General features: G+C 46.7%; 1 protein-coding gene and 2 pseudogenes across 3 annotated transcripts; all 3 read right to left on the bottom strand.

Annotated features, from left to right (window-relative positions):
• Positions 1,501 to 5,204, bottom strand: SAA1 (serum amyloid A1). 3 transcript variants are annotated; one of them, NM_001178006.3, is made up of 5 exons: positions 5,172 to 5,204; positions 5,025 to 5,085; positions 4,490 to 4,584; positions 2,135 to 2,273; positions 1,501 to 1,751 (listed from the first exon to the last, which is right to left on the bottom strand). In NM_001178006.3, the coding sequence occupies exons 3-5, from the start codon at positions 4,578 to 4,580 to the stop codon at positions 1,613 to 1,615; spliced, it is 369 nt and encodes a 122-aa protein (NP_001171477.2). In that variant the 5' UTR covers positions 4,581 to 4,584; positions 5,025 to 5,085; positions 5,172 to 5,204; the 3' UTR covers positions 1,501 to 1,612. The 3 variants fall into 3 exon arrangements, with proteins under 3 accessions (NP_001171477.2, NP_000322.3, NP_954630.2); NM_000331.6 differs by having other exon boundaries at positions 5,025 to 5,204; NM_199161.5 differs by lacking the exon at positions 5,025 to 5,085.
• On the bottom strand, positions 4,956 to 5,072 carry RNA5SP334 (RNA, 5S ribosomal pseudogene 334; annotated as a pseudogene).
• On the bottom strand, positions 7,967 to 9,583 carry ST13P5 (ST13, Hsp70 interacting protein pseudogene 5; annotated as a pseudogene).

Raw genomic sequence — 15,809 nt, 5'->3', positions numbered from 1 at the left:
TGTGTGACCTTGGAGAAGGCCTGAACACATACCTCTAAACCTGTTTATCCAACCGAGAACATCAAAGGCTTCTCTGCAGTGTCAATCCGATAAAGCATGTAAAGTATAGGACACAGTCTTGCAATTGCAGTGTAAAAGATGGCAGCGATTCTAGTTACTATTCACTGGCCTTCCATATTCCAGCAGAGTTTGGACTGCCACCAGTGTGTGCCTGTATTGAGGCTCTTATTGTGTTGTGTCTACCTACATATCTCGCTTTCTCTTTAGAACAATAAACATTGTCAAACGACAATGAGTGAGACTAATGTATCTTGTGAACAGTTACACAGGACAATAGAAATGAAAGTGTTTTTATGAACTGTTCAAATGCTAGTTATGTTACAGGGGCTTCCAGTCCAGCAGGGGAACTGACATACAAAACCAATTCTGAGAGGAGGGGGTAAAGATGAACGAGCAGGTGTGAACAAAGTGCTTGGGAGCCACAAACTCTGCCCCAGAGTGTGGTTCATGGCTACTGGGAAGGCTCTTCAAGGAAGTGGAATTTTTGTCTGGACCTGAATTCTAAGTCAGTGAAAAGAAAGATGAGGGAAACAAATGGGAGAGCCATTCTTTAAGGAGAATAAAGAGAAACTTTAAAAATTGGGTCAGTCAGAAGCAGGGTGATGTCCCTAAAAATAATAATAATAAAATAAGAAAATAAAATTTTAAAATGAGATCAGGAGTAGGGGCTAGTGTTGGTGAGACTAATGTATCAGTTGCCAGGACTCTTGGGATGAGGCTTTCCAAAGCCTCATAGAAACATCATTGAGGACAAGGCCAGGAGGTCGAGAAGGGGACAGGACACAACTGACAGGGCAGTGAAGAGATCTGGGCACACAGAGGCCTGGGAATAGCAATAAAATGACTGGTGAGGCCTCTGCATGACCAGGGAGAGGGGGTGGGTGAGCGGTGTGAGACAATTGATCAATGTAGCCGCAGATACAAAAGGAAGGGTTTAACATAGAGAGTTATTAATGGCTAACATGAGATTAGCTACTAAGGGATAAAAAACACAGAAAGAAATAAATTTGGGAAAGGGCTCCTCACAAGGCTGAGATTAAATCTTGCTGGAGAGTGTGTGGCTGTAGCCACTGGGTGGCAGGAAGCTTTTGCTGGGTGCCACAAGCCAAAGCTGCAAGCAAGGAGCTCTCCATTGAGGTGCTAGCAAAACGTGCCGGGGTGCAGTTGAACTCACTGGGAATGTGGCTCGGGTTCCTACAGACTCACTGGGCAGCTGCTCACATGGGGTAAGGGGTGGGATCTGCTGAAGCCCCTGGGATCCTGTGGGGGTGGCCACTGAACTCATCATGTCCTTGCCTCAGGGATGCCCAGGATGCCCTGTGTGCCCAGGAGTCGTCTCCCACCCACCCAGCCTCCACGTTCACTTAGATGTGCATGGATCGCCCCTTCATACTAAACAGGCAGTCTATACCACAAAGTATAACACCCAGTTTCCACAAATTCCACCTCTTAAGTATTTATTAGATACCCATTGTGTACCCTCTCCCCGCTTTGTATCCCTGCCCTGAGGGCCTCACAGCCAGATCTCCTGAGAGCAGAGTGAAGAGGAAGCTCAGTATTTCTCAGGCAGGCCAGCAGGTCGGAAGTGATTGGGGTCTTTGCCACTCCTGCCCCATTCATTGGCAGCCTGATCAGCCAGCGAGTCCTCCGCACCATGGCCAAAGAATCTCTGGATATTCTCTCTGGCATCGCTGTAATCAAGGCAGGCAAGAAGGAGATTAATAATCAGGCCAGTGAGCAATAGCCCACCCTCCCATTCTCCCTGTTCCAAGGGAGGGCTCAGAGAGGAGCCCAGAAAGGCCAAGGAAGGAGGGATGAAAACACTGGGCACCACCCCATTCAGCCAGGCTGGGCACCCCTAGGCTGGATGAACAGCACCCAGAGAGGGAGGATGAGGAATCACTCACTCCTACCATCCACTCAGACCTCACACTGAGCACAGAGGCAGAGAGAGGGCAAGAGGAGGAGGGGCCGCAGCCTCTAACTTCTCCACAAGGAGCTCGTCTCCCTCCTGACTGTCCAAGGCAGGCAAGCTCTGCTCACCCAGCCCTAACGTCCCAGGAGCTCCAGTTACGTGATCACTTCTGCAGCCCAGGCACCCCCAGGTCCCCTTTTGGCAGCATCATAGTTCCCCCGAGCATGGAAGTATTTGTCTGAGCCGATGTAATTGGCTTCTCTCATGTCAGAGTAGGCTCTCCACATGTCCCGAGCCCCTGGAAAGGAAAGGAAAGGCAGAAGGGACATCAGGAGAACATAAAGACTCCAACAACACCTTAGAGGGGAATGAGGAAGGACAAATCTTCCACTGACTTCAAGCTTTCAGCCTGTGATCATAGCAGCCTTGGATACCATGGGTTGAGAAGCACATTCCTTTATCCTAGTTGGCTTCTTCAAGTGCCCTGGTGAAGAGCCACTGCTATAGAATGAAGCTGCCTATGATAAGATCCAGGAGTGTGTATGAATGAGGTAGTGACATGGAATACTGATGCTGAGAAAGGTGGCAGACACAGAGTACTTCTGCCCTGACTACTAAAGTTTATATTCTTTTTTTTTTTTTTTTTTTTTTTTTTTTTTTTAGACAGAGTCTTGCTCTGTCGCCCAGGCTGGAGTGCAGTGGTGCTATCTCAGCTCATCGCAACCTCCACCTCCCAGGTTCAAGAGATTCTTCTGCCTCAGCCTCCTGAGTAGCTGAGATTACAGGCATGCGCCATCACGCCTGGCTAATTTTTGTATTTTTAGTAGAGACGGGGATTTCACCATGTTGGTCAGGCTGGTCTCGAACTCCTGACCTCGTGATCCCCCTGCCTTGGCCTCCCAAAGTGCTGGGATTACAGGCGTGAGCCACCGCACCCCGACCTAAAGTATATATTCTTGCAAATGGAATACACGTCATTGTGACGTGAGTTCCAGTGACTGTTAGGAGCATAAAAGTCCCTAAATACTTTCTTAGTAGGCTGTACTGATGCTGTGGGTTGCTTGAGGAAGCAATAGGGCAGTGGTGCTCTGCCTTGGCTGCACTTTCTTTTTCATTTTTTTTAGATGGAGTCTCGCTCTGTCACCCAGGTTGGAGGACACTGGTGCGATCTCTAGTCACTGCAACCTCTGCTTCTCGGGTTCAAGTGATTCTCGTGCTTCAGCCTCCTGAGTAGCTGGGATTACAGGTGCCTGCCACCACGCCTGGCTACATTTTAGTATTTTTAGTAGAGACGGGGTTTCACCATGTTGGCCAGGCTGCTCCGGAACTCATGACCTCAAGTGATTCATCCACCTTGGCCTCCCAAAGTGCTGGAATTACAGGCGTGAGCCTTGGCTGCACTTTCTAATCACCCAGAGAGAAACTGAAAGTCCCAGTGCCCAGGCCACACCCCAGGCCAGTTTCTGCAGACTCTGCTGGGGAGTTGAAGGCATGGGTATTTCAGGTGATGCCAAGGTGTGCCTGAGATTCATAACCATCAACCTCTAGGAGGTGGTCAGTGATGCGTCTACCTGGCAAGAGCCCTGACCTCAAGCACAGCCGGGCTCAAACCTCTGCCCTGCCACCTGCTGACTGGCAGTAAGTCCCTGGGCATTGGCTTCAGCTGCTCTAAGTCTCAGCTTTCTCACCTTCCAAGATCAGCTTTCTCACCTTCCAAGAGAGGAAGATTGCGTCACAGAGTCATTCTGAAACTAAATGAGAAAATGCTGTGGTCCTTGTGGGGGCTTGAGGCACGTTAGTTCCCAGCTCTTGTCAAGAAGGCTGGAGAAGGAAGAATGGAAACAGAACAAACCAGGAAGGGAGCCCCTGACAGAGCGAGGCTAAAGAGCCCTGTACATTATCCAACTAGGAAATCGAAGGAGGAAGGAGAAAGAAGACAGAAGAGTCAACAGCCTTAGTCATACTCCTATGCGATTTATGCTGAGGGACATTTTATACCCATTGCAGGCCTTATTTTGCATCTTCTACGCAAAACAAACAGCTCAGGTGCTCCTGGAAAGGATGATTGTTCTTTCTCTGAGTAACTGACAACAATCCTCGACTCTCTAATCTGTTTAGCAGCTCCCCAGGCACATTGGGCAGCACAACCTAAGGCAGCGGCTCAAATCTTAAGGAAGCCCAAAAATACCCCGTGTGCGTTGTTACTGGATGCCCCGTCCCTTACGGCTCAGGAGATGTGTTTTTGATACACCTTGCAGCGGCTTCTGAAATGTGATCCATCCACTTAACACATCCTGAGAAGCTGCACTACGGGGAAAGGGGATATTCCCAGCAGCTCTGAAAGACTCGAGACAGGCAACCCAGCAAACCCTAGTTCCTGGCAGGCCTCAGCAACGCAGACACTAGCAACTCTGTGGTTCAAAAGCAGCCTTCCGAAAGCATCATTTTCCCCAGTTTATCAGGTCCAGGGTGATGTTTCTCTTCAGAAATCCTGCAAACCTTCTGAAGCCTTACCATCAAAAGCCTCGCCAAGGAACGAAAAGAAGCTTCGGCTGCTGACACCCAGGACCAAGGAGCAGAAAACCAGGCCCGTGAGAAGCTTCATGGTGCTGAAATGAAAGGAGAAGTCAGGCAGTCGCCCACAAGACTGGCACAGCTTCCCTTGGGACTTATATTCCGACGAGAGCCTGGTTATTTCCACTGGATCTTATTAGAGTCTCAGTGGCTCATCTAGGAAACCTTGCAGCAGGACCTCACTCAGAGCCAGAAGCCCTCGGTTCTGAACCCATCAGCCCTGAAGCCTGACTGCATAAGAGGATGCCAACGTGGCACTGATGGAGGAAGGCAGGAGTTACCACCAGACTGTCACTCCCTCAAGTAGCCTATAATTCCCCATAACGCATTTACCGTGTGTTCCCTCTGCCCCGCACAGAACTCAACATGGGATAAACACAAAGCAGGATCATTATTTTTTATTCTTAAAGCCTTTAGCACCTGGTATTCCCAGGTGTTCTCCCATCCAAGTACTACCAGGCCCGACCCTGCTTACCTCTCTAGATCAGAGGAGATAAGACACCTTCAGAATGGTATGGCTGTATGCCCCAGGATAACTATTTTTTTTAAAGGAAATGATAATCTTGTTGGGAAAGAGAAAACAGAGTAAGTTTTAAAAATCACTCCTTGGTGTGCTCCTCACCTGATCTGTGCTGTAGCTGAGCTGCGGGTCCCTGCCTGCCAGGGAGCGGTGGCTGCTATTTATACTGAGCCTTCCCTGCTGGTTTCTTGGGAGCGAAGAAAAGCTGGATGTGGTCCCTGGGGAAAGTCCCTGCAGGTCATTTCCCCTACAAAACGGTCTAAGACAAGTTCCTGGATGCCAGTGGTTTCTTCATCCCGGGTCATTTATCCCAGTTGTGCAACCTGAGGGAACAAGATGTGCCTGGCAGCTGTCAGGGCAGGAGACCAGCTCTGCTCCTCAGCATTGAGGGGGCTGAGGCTGCGGAGTTGAGAGTGGGAGCCCCGTGATGGCGGCACCTGGGCTGCTGGAAGGTGTGAAGTGAGGGCAGCTTTGAAGCCAGCTCCTGACTCTACCAGTCATTTCCTCAGGATGGGCTCTGCTGGGCCACATGGCAGATGCCTCTGAAATGAAGTCCCTCTGAGTTCATATCTAAAGCTTCAAAGCTGACAGACTAGGTCCAGCACAGTGGCTCACTCCTATAATCCCAATGCTTTTGGAGGCCAAGGCAGGAGGATCACTTGGGGTCAAGAGTTTAAGATCACTCTGTGCAAAACTGTAAGATCTTGTCTCTACGAAATATAAAAATAAATGGACCGGGTGTGGTAGTGTGCACCTGCAGTCCCAGCTACTCAAGAGGCTGAAGCGGAAGGATTGTGGGAGACCCAGGAGGTCAAGGCTGCAGTGAGCTATAATCACGCCACTGCACTCCAGCCTGGTTAACAGAGCAAGACCCTGTGTCTAAAAGAAAACAAAATAAAACTAGCAGCCTACCCCTGCCATGTCTCATGTGTGCCCTGGAAGGCTCCTTCCACCCCTCAGTCTAGATATCCAGAGATTTACCTCCTCAGCACAGAAAAGCCCTGCTCAGCTGGCCTAGTCAATTAGGAAATTAGGAAGGAAGGAAGTGGTCAGTACCAGAGCCCAGCAGGGCTGAGGCCAGGACATGCAGAGAGGCTGGTGGATATAGCAGCAACTGTGGTTTCTTCTTCTCCAGTCCGTTTTCACTCTTTTATTTTTTCTTTCTTTCCTTCCTTCCTTCATTTCTTCCTTCCTCTCTCTTTCTCCTTCCTTCCTTCCTTACTCCCTCTCTGTCTTCCTCCTTCCTTCTTCTCTCTTCCTCCTTCCTTCCTCTCTCTCTTCCTTCCTTCTTTCCCTCCTTTCTTCCTCTTTCCCTCCCTCCCTTCCCTCCCTCCCTCCTTCCTTCCTTCTTTTCTTCCTCCCTTCTTCTCTTCCTCCCTTCCTTCCTCTCTCTTTCTCCTTCCTTCCTCTCTCTTTCTCCTTCCTTCCTTCCTCTCTCTTTCTTTCCTCTTTTCTTTTCTTTCTTTCAGAATGCTATGAATATAGGCCTCAGGATAACTACTTTTTAAAGGAAATGACAATCTTGTTGGGAAAGAGAAAACAGTAAGTCTTAAAAACACTCCTTGGCATACTCCTCACCTGATCCTCCTCTCCTCCCCTCCCCTCCCCTCCCCTCCCCTCCCCTCTCTCCTCCCCTCTCCCCTCCCCTCTCCCTTCCCCTCCCCTCCCCTCCCCTGCCCTCCCCTCCCCTCCTCTCTTCTCCTCTCCTCTCAAGACAGGGTCTTGCTCTGTTGCCTGAGCTGGAGTGCAGTGGTGCAATCATGGCTCACTGCAGCCTCAGCCTCCCAGGTTTAAGTGATCCTTGCATCTCAACCTCCCAAGTAGCTGGGACTGCAGTTGTTTGCCAATATGTTTGAGTAATTTTTAAAATTTTTAGTACAGTGGGAGTTTCACCATGTTGCCCAGGCTGGTCTCAAATTCCTAACCTGCAGTCCTCCTGCCTTGGCCTCCCAAAGTGCTGAGATTATAGGCATGAGCTACCATGCCCAGCCAGAAGTTCATATCTGATTGCTTCTATTTTTCAGTGAAATAGGAAGCAAAGTTGTCAACTGAGAAGAGAATGAACGAGGAGTTGTGGGAAGTTTCAGAAGAGAAGAGAAGTAGAAAGCAGACATCTAGGAAAGGAAGAATGTGACTGAACTTGAGAAAGGTAGTGGATTGTATGGTAGCTCTTGGTCAACGACCATGAATTTAAAGTGAGACTAGTCATAGCAGTCGTGCTTTTTTTCTGATCACATTCAGCTGCCAAGGTTCAGACTTTTAGCAAGTGGCAAATTGAATATCACTGTGCAATAAATGCTTGTTGAGTTGCATGACTGAATACATGCGAAGGTCAAAGGAGGAGGATTTATTTAAAGATGAGGGAGGGTTACAGGGCACAGGGAGAATGTTAACAGAGAGAGTGACTGAGGGTAAAAGATAGGGCATAACATAGACTTCAACAACCAAGGGGCCACAGGGCCACGGGGACAAGGTTGCCCAGAGTGTAGCAGGAGCAGGTCTTCCTCTGAGACAGGAAGGAGAGGAACGATAACAAGGAAGATGCATTTTGAGATGAAGGACAGAGATCCTGAGGGAAACCAGCAGGCCCTTTTCTTTACCAGTCATAGAACTCATCGCTCTCCACCTGTTTGCATTTCTGAGTTTGACCCAGAGTGCACAAAACACAGGGATAGGAACCTTGTCAGGCTTATTGACAGATAACTGTTGTCACTTTAACACCAAACACAGCACCTCACCTGTAGCAGGTTCTTAGTCACTTTTATTGATTGAAGGAGTCAATGCATGAGTGAAGTAGGAGAAGTCATCTCCTATAGATTGACAGGTGGAAGGTTAAGAAGAATGGAAAAGCTTTGGAACAATGATGTCATTTAGAGATGAACATGGACTTTTTTTTTTTATGTTTGCCTCGCACTAATAACTTTTATTTCACTCAAATTAGAGCAGTAATCTTCCATAAATAAGTATATTCCCTGCCCAATAATTTAAGGAAAAATCCACAATGATTAGTAAAGAAAAATATAAGAATTAACAGACCCTTTAAATTTGTTTTAAATATTTGAAGATTTAAAAAGTGTTTAAAGTTTGTAATTCCTAGTAGGAAAACATTATCTGAATGAATACCCTAATGGCAAACCACTGTAAAATGCTTCAGCTGCATTTGGGGGAGAGGGGTAGGGATTATCTTCAAAGCACCCCAGCTCTCTTGATGAGAAGGTCAGAGGTACGTTGGTTTGTATTATTGCGACATCCATAAGGTGATCTAGGTTGCTTTTCCTTCAGCAGGGCTTTATTTATCAGAAGGGCATTATGCTTGACCTCCAAATTTGGCTGACAATTTACTGATGAGATTCATAACCTTTGGGTTGCTCTGGTATTTTGACATATTTGCTGGGTTCTGAGCCACATCCTGGAAGGCCACCATAACTTCTGGATCCTGCATGGCTGCAAGAGCCTCTGGATCACTAAGAATTTCATTGAGTCCAGGCATTCCGGCCATTCCAGGCATGTCCCCTCCCATTCCAGGCATTCCTCCGGGAAAATTACCAGGCATTCCACCAGGAAAGCCACCTGGAAAAGGGCCATAGTGAGCTCCTGACTGTCGTCTGGCTTCTTCCTCCCTCTGGGCTCTCTCCTGCTCTTCTTGAGCCTTCTTAACTCGTTCTATTCTTTCTTTGATCTCTCGCTCTTCATGTTTTCGCTCATACTTTCTCCAATGTTCTGCAATTTTCTGTGCCCTAGGTTGAACTTCTTTCAGCATTGCACTAGCATCTTCATCATAATCCAATTTACAGGCAAAGGCAAGATCATGGGCTGCTTCTTCCCAGTGGCCTAGAAGTCTGTGTGCTTTCCCCCGCCACTTGTAAGGCTGAGCTGAATCAGGATTTATTTCAATGGCTCTGTCACAGTCTTGGATGGCAGCATTTGGCTTCTGTAATTTGACGAAGACACTGGCCCTCTTTGCATACAAAATGGCCAAGCGAGGATTCAGCTTGATGGCATCTGTGAATAAGTCAATGGCTTTCTGGAGTTCACCATCATTTAGGACTTCAATAGCAGCCACTTTTTTATCATTTGCCTGATCCATCATCTCCTCCGTTATCTCCACATTTTCATCTCCCATTTCTTGAGGAGCATCAGTGTCTGGTTCAATCACACCTTCTTTATCAATTTCTAGATCACTTTCCTCAGTTGATGGTTCGTCTGCCTTTAAGTCTTCCTCCACCTTCTTACTATCAGGTTTTTCTTCCTTGGTATTTTCTTCTGATTTAGCCTTCTGAGTAGCAGGTGGTACTTTACCTCCCATGCTCTCCACCCACTCTCTCAGGAAGCGCATTTCCTCGGTGTGCAGAACGCTCGGATCCTGCTTACACATTTTCACAAAGGCCCGAAGCTCGTTCACTTTGCAGGGGTCCATGGTAGGGAGGTGGTGGGTGAAGCTGGGGGCTGCGGCCCAGTTCCAGGCCCAGGTGCTGGCTCGGCATGACCGCGCAGAAGGGGGCGGCTGCCGCGAGTGAACATGGACATTGTTAATATGCAATAAAATCTCAGCCTACTTGAAATGTTTACATTAATTGTCAAAAAACATATTCAGAAGGCAAACCCTTATCATCTCTCCGCTGCTCCCAGAGAGATGTTATTAGGCATCACCTTCTGGGTTATGATGGCTTCTTAACTGGCTTCCACATTTCCCCCTTTGCCGCCAACTAGTCTCTTTTCAGTATAGCAGCCAGACTGTTACAACACAAGACAACTTCTATCACTCTCCATTCAAAACTCTCCGGAGGATTCCACTTCCACTCATAGTTGAAGTCAAAGCCCTTATAATGGTTTTCAAACTTTACTCAAACTGTCCTAACTCCTTCCTCTCGTACCTCATCATCCAATTCTCTCCTCCTGCTCATTTTGCTCTGGCCACACTGGTCTCCAAACCCCCAGGCACATCTTACCCTAGGGGCCTCGGATTAGCTGTTCCTTTCCTCTGGAACATTCTTTTCCCAGATATTTGCATATCAGGGCTTTGAGGGGGCCTTGATCCGGGAATGCAGGATACTGGAAGGTTCAACAATACAGTTATTGTCAATAAGAGTATTGGCAGTGAATGTGTTGGAAAGAGGGCCGTAAATGAACTGTGAAAATTTTCCATGAAGATGGGAGAGGACTGGAGAGTTTTGTCAATGAATACAATAAAGAGGTACTTTGTCTCCAAACATCACTAAGCAGATTGTCTACACAGAAGCTTCTAGTGGGTATTTCTAGGCTGGGCACGGTGGCTCACACCTGTAATCCCAACACTTTTGGGGGCGGAGGCGGAGGATGGGTTAAGGTCAGGAGTTTGAGACCAGCCCGAGCAACATAGTGAGACTCCATTTCTACAAAAAATTAACAATTAGCTGGGCATGGTGGCACACTCCTGTTGTCCTCACTACTTGGGAGGCTGAGGCAGGAAGATCACTTGAGCCCAGGAGTTTGAGGTTACAATGAGCTATGATTCCACCATTGCACTCTAGCCTGGCAACAGAGCGAGACTCTTGTCTCAAAAAAAAAAAAAAAATGCAGATTCCTAAGCCATAATCTTGGAGGTCTTGGTCTCAGTTCAGCGAGTTGGGGGTGATCTTCAGGAATCAGTGTTTGAAAATCTTCCTGTTTGGAAATCACTTGTGCAGATAACATTAGTAAGACTGGAGAGAAGGTGGTAATGAATTTATCAGGGACTTCAAAGAGGACACATCACAGAGGTGAAGAATGGAGAAATGGTCATGGAAAGCAAAGAGGACGAGGACCCCTCTTTCTCATTCTATTGTCTAGGAGGAATTGCAGGAGGCATACCCCATGGGTAAAGATGAGAATAAAGTGAAATCAACATGGGAAAGGCAGGTTTCAAGTTTTTGTAATGGGAAGGAAATAGGCAGAGATAAAGGGGCATCCTCACCGCAGACCCTTCTTTCGAGGAGCTCACTGGAAGGTAGTAGAAGAAGGGTGGGCAGAGTGTTGGGAGAGTTGAGGCTGACTCATAGAGAAATTAGTTGGTGTGACGTGAAAGCAGGGAGATGAGAAGAGTAAAGGGCATGGCAGTTGAGCGTGCTGGTTAGTGACAGCAGATTGGGATTCTTTATTGCTTCCGGGCTCAGTGTGGGGTGCTGTGCTATGGGGGGCTGATACTTATGAGCCAGTGGAACTACTCCCCAAAGGTCAAGTGGACTAAAATAAAAACAGTGAGGATGCCTTTCTGATCTTCTCCCAACCATGCTGAAGTCCTGAAGAGAATGGAAGTTAGCAGAAAGTTCTGGAGAGAATGAAGGGACAAGGGAGGAGGGGAAGGAAACAGTGGCTAGTGAAGGTAGGCAAGGAGTACTCTCAACACATGCTTAATATGAAACATTTATCAGCAAGAAACTAGTTTTTAAAGCTGACACACAGCATTCAAACTTGGAGGCCACAGGCCTCACAGGGCAGGTCTTCTACTTTTTGAGATCTCTAATTACTGGATCCAAACTTTCTCCCTGGGAAAGGGTAATTTGTTTTTGTATGAATTCATCTTTTATAGAGTCACAGCCAGTCCCTTCTTTCTAACATGTACACCACATCTCCTAGGCACGACTGTCTTTTGCTCATTAAGAAAAAACTCTGCCTCCAAACTCCTATCAGATGGAGAAGCTGCAGAGAAGATAAATGGCTTATTCAAGGACCAGAACCCAGGACACTCATGATACCTTGGCCAGTGCTCTTTCTTCTCCACCTCCTTGCCTCCATCCCTTAACAAATGTTCTTTTCTGGGAACTTGGACACCCCTTGAAAAGATGAGGAGTGGTTTATGGTAATTCCAGGTTGGATTATTTGGTTTGGGAGAATGCCATTGGTCACAGCAATCTCAGCTCCTGGCAGCAGAAACCTGAACTTTGTCTCTATTCCATTTTGCCATGGTTATCTCTAACAGAAAGTCCTGTTATGCAACACCAGAATACCTTCCCAGTAGAGGTTGTGACACTGAGTTCCCATTACAGATCCTAAAACCCAGCCACCTAGACTTGGAGGCAGTATGGCTGCAAGTTAAGAGCCAAGCCCTGGTTTCAGACAGACCTGGTATGACCTTGCCTCTGCCATATACTGATATTGTGGAAGAGCACTTAATGACCTGGAGAAGTATCTCTTAAGGGAAAGAGTGCAATAGAATATGATCCCATTTTTGTTCAAAGACATGTTCCCATGGTGAAACACAACCTAGGAAGTTTTACATCTGTGTTTCTAGGTAGTGCCAACAGCTTGTGTTATTCTAGATTTTTAGAATTTTTTACAATGACATGTCCATTTATTTATTGATTCATCATCAGTCATTATCCATTCACGCATCGAGTGCCTTCTATGCAGCAGATACTACAATAGATATTGGGCATACAATGAGGGGAGATGGCGGCTAACCAGGTCTAGGCTGTGCCTCCATGAAAAAGAGACTTATACTTGGGGAAAAATGATTATACATGTGTAGACATAAAGCTTATACTTATAATAAATCAGTAAGATTCCAATAAATAAATGGGAAAAATATGTGTACAAAAAGTATAATGAAAGAAAAGAGAAAGCAAGGGGTATCACTAATCATTCTAAGATTGTTTCTCCTTAAGAACAACAGTCCCCAGGTACTAATATCATTGCTCATTCCTACCATCTCTTATTAAAATAAATAAAATAAGAAATGGCTCAGCTGTCAAAAGGTCTCCTGCCACTTTACAGAAGTAAAGCCAGGCCATGGGCTATGGATTACCAGGAGGGCAGGAGAAAAGATTCCCTCCTGTTTCTTCCACTTAGCAAGTGAATCACCAGGAACACAAAAGGACCAACTATTTAATTCAGGGGCGGACTCTTTTTCTTTTTCTTTTTCTTTTTTTTTTTGAGATGGAGTCTCGCTCTGTCGCCCAGGCTGGAGTGCAGTGGCGCGATCTCGGCTCACTGCAAGCTCCACCTCCCGGGTTCACACCATTCTCCTGCCTCAGCCTCCCGAGTAGCTGGGACCACAGGCGCCCGCCACCACGCCCGGCTAATTTTTTTGTATTTTTAGTAGAGACAGGGTTTCACTGTGTTAGCCAGGATGGTCTTGATCTCCTGACCTCGTGATCCACCCGCCTCGGCCTCCCAAAGTGCTGGGATTACAGGCGTGAGCCCCTGCGCCCCGCTGAGGGGTGGACTCTTAATTGTGTTTGCTGTGTGTCGCTTCTCACAAAGCCCACACTCTCTCATGGAGAGAGAACCCTTTTCTCCTGGCTCAGAGTTTCCAAGTTGCATTCTCTAGGCACCAGAATCCAAACCTGTCTGCATTGAGTTCTGCGTCTCTTCCCCTATAGGTTGTTGGCTGAGGCTCACGCCTCCCTGAAGCCTGCTGGCCTCTAAGTGATGACTGAATCAGGTTATGAAGGACTCGCAGCGGGGGCATGTTGGGATTTGGTCATCAGCCCACTGTCGGCAACAGCAAGAGCCACTCTCAGAGTCTGAAACTGGTATTGCCAAAGGACAACAGAACTCTGCATTCTGTTTAAAAATATTGCACTTTATTCCTTTTCAAACATTTGCAAAAGGGAGTAATAAATTATAGGCGGGTGGATCACCTGAGGTCAGGAGTTCCAGACAAGCCTGGCCAACATGGTGAACCCCATCTCTACTAAAAATACAAAACATTAGCTTGGCGTTGTGGCAGGTCCCTGTAATCCCAGCTACTTGGGAGGCTGAGGCAGGAAAATCGCTTGAACCTGGGAGGTGGAGGTTGTAGTGAGCTGAGGTCACGCCATTGCACTCCAGCCTAGGCAACAACAGTGAAACTCCGTCTGAAAAAAAAAAAAAAAAAAAGACATCTCAAAACCCCAAATCTCTTATGGACTTGTATAGTATTTATGAAACTAAGAACTCATTTGAGAAGGGGAAAATTCCAATAATTCTTCTTAAATTTCGTTTCAATTTCAAGTAATTTATAGGTATGTCTTAGGAATCATCATTAAACCTTCTGTACCAGTTAGGCTATTCAAATATCTACATCTTTAAACACGTATAGCAATTTTGAAAAATAGAGAAGTTTTTCAGTTTAGATGAACAATAAAATATTTTGTCAAAAAGACTCCTTTTCCTTTTACATTCATTGTCAGGAAAATCCAGCATAGGAAATTTACTGCTTATGGTTGAACAACATCAAATTTGTAGATTTACCAGAGAGCCTGTCTCAATCTGATTAGTTAGCAAAACAGGGAGTCCTGTTTAGTTCTCCTAAACATTTTGTAACTCCCTGATTTCTCTTGCCTTCAGAGAGATGTGATTTACAACACAGTGGTTCAATAAACAAAAAGTAATTTCAGGTCCAAGTAATTTGCCTTCCAGTTTCCCATTAATTAAAGATGATTCTCTGCCTAGATGGAGAATCAAGAGACCTTGACACATAGTCTTTTTCCATAACCCTAGCAGTGTATCTTCCTGGTCAGACCTGCTGGGTGGGCACACTTCCCAGACACAGGGCTCTCCACCTCTCTGGAGCCCCCAACCTTATTTGGGAGCTCAGGCTCACTACATTTATGCCCAGGTATGGGGAACTCACAGCCAGGAGACCTAAGCCCAGCAGATCTTGCAAGGGGAACAGGGGTACATACCACTCATAGACAGACTGAGGATAAGGATGACTTAAGCCCCTGCTTGGCATACCTTTCCTTCTTGGCACATAGATGTGTTCACCTCCAAGCCTGGCACAACTGGGAAAGGCCTGGAATTACTAGGCATTAGGACCAGTGGAAGGTTTCAGAGTCAAGGAAGAATTGAGCTTATGGCCTCCTGTAGTCCAGCTGGCTATAACGTGTCCCAGATCTGTTCCCTAACTTCCACCAGGACTGCCCATTTCCCCAACTCTAATGTGGGAATTTTTTTTTTTTTTTTTGAGACAGAGTCTCGTTTTGTCCCCCAGGCTGGAGTGCAGTGGCGCGATCTAGGCTCACTGCAAGTTCTGCCTCCCGGGTTCACACCATTCTCCTGCCTCAGCCTCCCGAGTAGCTGGGACTACAGGCGCCCACCATGACGCCCGGCTAATTTTTTTGTATTTTTAGTAGAGACGGGGTTTCACCATGTTAGCCAAGATGGTCTCGATCTCCTGACCTCGTGATCCACCCGCCTTGGCCTCCCAAAGTGCTGGGATTACAGGCGTGAGCCACCGTGTTCGACCTAATGTGGGATTCTTTAGACTGGTGGGGAGTCATTAGGGAAGGAAATGCTTTGTGTTTGCTCAGACATTCATTCCAACCCCATCCCATCTCCAATGAGAGACTTGTAAGCTCCAAATCCTGACTTTCCTTAATGCCTCAGGTCCAACGCCCTATCTGCCTCTCTACTAGCACTCCCGCTTTGCTGCCTCAAGATGCTTCCCTCCCATTGATGATGTGTGGGTATTTCTGTTGTTGTTTTTTCATGTCTTTTTCCATCTTTTTTTCTTTTTCTTTTTGTTTTTTTGGAGACAGGGTCTCACTCTGTCACCCAAGCTGGAGTGCAGTGGTGTAGTCTCAGCTCACAGCAGCCTCGATCTCCCAGGCTCAAGCAATCCTCCCACCTCAGACTCTCAAGTAGTTAGGACCACAGGCATGAGCCACCACGCCTGCCCCAATATACATATATATATACATATATACATATATATATACATATATACATATATATATACACACATATATACACATATATACATATATATACACACACACACACACACATATATATATA

Source organism: Homo sapiens, chromosome 11 (assembly GCF_000001405.40).
Source record: "Homo sapiens chromosome 11, GRCh38.p14 Primary Assembly".
NCBI classification, from domain to species: domain Eukaryota; kingdom Metazoa; phylum Chordata; class Mammalia; order Primates; family Hominidae; genus Homo; species Homo sapiens.
The sequence above is the reverse complement of the archived record's forward strand: the minus strand, read 5'-3'. Positions and strand labels throughout refer to the sequence as shown.

What these genes read in the sequence shown, in the direction of transcription:
- SAA1 (NM_000331.6), bottom strand. Translation starts at nt 4,580, where the DNA reads ATGAAGCTTCTCACGGGCCTGGTTTTCTGCTCCTTGGTCCTGGGTGTC. An exon ending in CCTTGGCGAGGCTTTTGATG is followed by an intron (nt 2,274 to 4,489) that starts GTAAGGCTTCAG and finishes TTTCCTTTCCAG; the next exon opens with GGGCTCGGGACATGTGGAGA. An exon ending in TGGGCTGCAGAAGTGATCAC is followed by an intron (nt 1,752 to 2,134) that starts GTAACTGGAGCT and finishes CCTTGATTACAG; the next exon opens with CGATGCCAGAGAGAATATCC.